The sequence below is a fragment of the Homo sapiens genome, chromosome 13 (genome assembly GCF_000001405.40).
Source record: "Homo sapiens chromosome 13, GRCh38.p14 Primary Assembly".
Taxonomy (NCBI): Eukaryota; Metazoa; Chordata; class Mammalia; order Primates; family Hominidae; genus Homo; species Homo sapiens.
Window position 1 is genome coordinate 111010511 of NC_000013.11, and position 4671 is coordinate 111015181.

Sequence of the window (4671 nt, forward strand, 5' to 3'; positions counted from 1 at the left end):
GTCAAGTTAAAAAATTAAGTTTTTGAAGTAAAAATATTACAGTAAGCAAAGGTTAATTTATCATTGAAAAAAGAAAAGTATTTTAAATAATTTTAGTGTAGCCTAAGTGTACAGTGTTTATGAAGTCTACAGGAGTATACCGTAATGTCTCAGAACTTCATATTCACTCACATGTCACCCAGAGCAACTTCTAGTCCTGCAACCTCCATTCAGGGTAAGTGCCTTATACAGGTGTGCTATTTTTAATCTTTTAGACTGTATTTTTTACTGTACCTTCTCTATGCTTAGATGTACAAATACTATTGTGTTACAATTGCCTACTATATTCAGTATAGTCACATGCTGTACAAGTTTGTAGTCTAGGAGGAATAGGCTGTACCATCTAGCCTAGGTATGTAGTAGCCTGTACCATCTAGGTTTGTGGAAGCATACTCTATGATGCACAAGACAAAATCGACTAACAATGCATTTCTCAGAATATATTCCCACATGACTGTGTTTTCTATGAGAACACAGAATGTAACTGCATAAAAGATCTGAAAAGTCCATACCATTTGATAAGAGGGTACCTGTGGGAAGCAGAGGCAGGCACTGGGAAGACATAGGTATTCAAGGAGAACTTTAGCTTTATCTAGTATGTTTTGGTTTTTTGGAATTACCTTAAAATGCATTTGCAGTGCTTCTGTCATTGAAAAGCTAATTTAATAACAATCTCTCCTTTTGCCAAGCAGTAGAGATCAGAACAGGACAAATTCTTGTCCTTTCATGTACCTCCAACTGACATCAACTTGTAGAAACAGCACTGAAGATGGTCTGAATGGGAACTATTACAACACTGGGAGAAATAGAAGATAATCTTATTATCGGGGAAATAGTTACTACAGCCACACCAGCGTACAATAATCTCAGGACTTCAGTGAAGGTGAGATGCAGACTGGATCCAGAGGAACTTTGTTAAGAACTTAAAACACATGGTGTTCTGAGGACACTGGCACACACTTTCTCAAATGAGGACTTCCATCATTAAAATGAACCTTGAACTATAATCTCTAATCATTCCCAGTCCTATGAGCTCTGTTTTTCTTTATTATTGCTATGTCATGTGTATTTAAAATAGAGGTTTCCTTACACCTAGCTGCTAACCAACCTGCTGCAATCTGACTTCTGCCGTTGGAATTGCTCCTGCCACATCCATCAAAGGCATAGCAGTTGCTGAACTTGAGAGCCATTTTTCAGACCTTTTAAGTATTCTCTTAGACATTGATTCTGCTGAGAGTTCCTCCTGAACTCTCCTCCCTTGCTCTACGAGCCTAGCATCTCTGACTCTCTTCTTATTTCTCTATGAATTCCTTGGCCTCTTTCACCTGCTATTCTTTTCTTCTGCCTATTTCTTAAGTATTGATGTCCCCCGAGCTCAGTTCTGGGTCCCTGTGTGAGTTGCCAAAATGGTCCAAATTCTACCTCCAACCACCCCACCCAAAGCCCTCACAGTGTGACTTTGTAGGGTGGAGTCTGTTTCCTCATTCCTAGAATCAGGGCTGGTGCAGAGGAAGTGATGCTGTACTAGGTCTGGGCCAAGGCCTTGCATGTGTCATCTCTGTCTTAGAGTCTGCCCAGCAGCAATGGAGCAAAAGCCTGAGCTGATTGGCGAGCTGTGCAATTGCAGGGTCAGATCCTATTTGACCTTGCCATCCAAGTCCCAACCAATTGCCAGCAGCCCTAGAAATAGAGTGACCTCGTTGACCAGCAGCTGAACCTAGACCTTTGAGAGAGTCCAGCCAGGACCAATAAAACCATCCAGCTGAGTCCAGCCCAAAGAGCTGACCCACAGATGTATGTGCTAAATCAACGCTTGTTTATTATGCAGCAAAAAGCCAACTGTTACCTCCTCTTCTCAATTTTGGGGGACCTCCTTACAGACAGGCACGACTTCAGCTTCTATGACCTGATGATGATTCTAACACAGTGCAAAAAAATGTTTTGATGGGATGAAGACACAGGCTTTTGAGACAATGCTTTTGAAGAATATTCATTCTCTGGATTTCTTAGCTCCAGTACATTCTCATTTAGGACTTCCTCCTTTTGTTATATTCTGGACTTGATGTTATAGCTATGGTTATTATTTTCAAACTTACAATGACTTATTTGAACAAAATAATTGGGAAGATCAGAAACTGAAAGAAAACACACAGTGCTAGCTTTTACTCCTTATTAATGCATTTGAATAAAACCCCACAGTACACTTGAAAATAAATCCTAATGCAGGTGTTTGGCTAAGGTGCACATGAATGTGGAGCCTGCCCCAGTCACTAGTGGTGCCTAGCAAACCACTCCAACATTTAGTGACTACATAAAACTCCATCTTCTTAGGCTCACAGGGTTGGGGATTTGGAAAGGGCTTGGCAGGGACAGTTTATCTCCACCCCATGATGTCTGGGCCTCAGCTAGGAAGGTGAGAAGGCTGAGGGGTGAGTCAATGGCTCAGGACTGGAATATTCTGGTGGCAACTTCACTAACAAGTCTGTGGCTGAGACTGGCCATTGGTTGAATTTCAGCTGGACGTTGGACGACTCTCCAAGTGCTCTCTCTGCCTTGGGCTGGTTTGGGCTTCCTTACGGCATGGCAGCTGGATTCCCAGAAGAGGCATCCCAAGAAAGCCAGGTTGAAATGCTTGGCATCTTTATAGTGTCGTCCAGTCTCAGAGGTCACATAACATCAGTTTAGCCACACTCTTGGTCAAGGCCATAGTGCAATTTGCTCAAATTCTAGTGCAGGAGGCTGCTTGCTCAATAGAAGGAGTGTCAAGGTCACACTTTTTTTTTTTTTAAAGCACATGGAATGGATGACATTGTCGTGGTCATTCTTGGAAATTACAGTCTGAAACTGAAGCATATGCAAAATGCACCTGAAAATTCAGACATCTGTGCCTTGTAAGGAAAGGAGACACCACAGATCACCCTTTGGGAGGTGAGTTTGAGAAACAAGGAGGCATCTTCATAGACATTTGGTAGCTTGCCAACTTGATAGGCTGTTTAAATAACCTAAAACAGTGTTATCCAATCGAGGGCCCTTCCTCCATGAGAGGTCTTCTATGTCAGTCATAAAGGCATTTTTAATATTTCAAAATATTAGAGAAATTATGCATTGATTGGGCACAAAAGTAAGTGAAATATAACTAAAACTTTTTTCCTACTTTGGGATGGAATGCAGGCTAAATGAAGCTGTGACTCACAGTTACATATGTTTTTATTAAATAAGAAAACAATCACTAAATGAATATATCTTATTTGGTAGATAACTACTTCAAAACATGATAGCCTGCCATAGAAGGACAGGGATTGGAAACAGAAATTTTGTTATAAATTGTTTTGACAGATTGAAAAAAAAGAGCAATAAAAATAGTGGAGCTAAGACCTGGGAGCCTCCCACCCACAACTGGCGACTGATGACATGATGTCAGATTCACTCCATCTTTTAAAATATAAATGAAATAAAACAAATGAAGCTGCCTTTGTATCATCCCTGCTTCTGTCTCCCTTGCCCTCAGAGATAATCATTAAGAATCACAAATATTCTAACACCCAAAAATGCTCCATATGTATTTATATTCATGAATAGTTTCTATTGCATATCTGATGATTGATATAATTTGTCTCATGCTGCAAATGTCTTTTCCATTCAATATGTTTTTGAGTTTTTACATGTTGTTATAGAAAAATAGTTCACCTCTGCTCTATAGGATTCCATGGTGTGAATGCATCATAATTCTTTTTTTTTTTCTTTTGAGACAGGGTCTTGTTCTGACACCCAGGCTGCAGCTCACTACAGCCTTGACATTCCAGGCTCAAGTGATCCTCCCACCTCAGCCTCCCAAGTAGCTGGGACTACAGGCACACACTACCACGCCTAATTTTTGTAATCCCAGCACTTTGGGAGGCCGAGGCTGGAGGATTGCTTCAGCTCAGGAGTGTGAGACCAGCCTGGGCAACATGGTGAGAACACATCTCTACAAAAAACACACGCCTGTCCAATTTTTGTATTTTTTGTAGAGATGAGATCTCACCATGTTGCCCAGGCTGGTCTCAAACTCCTGAGCTCAAGTGATCCTCCTGCCTTGGCCTCTCAAAGTGCTGGGATGAAGGTGTGAGCCACTGCTCCTGGCCTAACTTATCTTAGTCTAACCAGCCGGTGGATGTTTAGGTTATTTCCATTGTTGTGCTATTCTGAAGAATGTTGCAGTGGAGCTCCTTGAATATGTCCTACTGTGTCTACGTGGAAGAGTTTCTCTCTGCAAATATCTAAAGGTAGAATTTTTTAGGTCACAGTATATGTACATTTTCAATTTTACTACATACTCCAAACAAGTTGTATGTATAAATGCCTTGGCAAATTTTATTGAAAATGTACTGTGTGCAAAACATTGTTTTACCACCTGTGAGAATATGCAGGTGAACCACAGTCCCCGACTGAGGACAGAAGTCGCCCAGTGCTCTGACAGCCGACATACCCCTCATCATAGATGTTTACCAGAGGCCAGATAAGAATCAGTCCAGAAACCAAGGCCTCAGAATTAAGGAGAAGATCCAGATGATTCTCTGGATTCAGGTTCATTTAAGATTCAGTGATTGGGCTGGGTGTGGTGGCTCATGCCTGTAATCCTAGCACTTTGGG

The 4671-nt window shown here is 41.3% G+C and overlaps 1 annotated feature.

Annotated features, from left to right (window-relative positions):
* Positions 1706 to 1755: an enhancer, noted in NCBI's record as "active region_8020". NCBI's record gives its function as "activates an Ori minimal core promoter by ATAC-STARR-seq in GM12878 lymphoblastoid cells {active_cell/tissue: GM12878}" and the evidence as "EXISTENCE:reporter gene assay evidence [ECO:0000049][PMID:35858748]".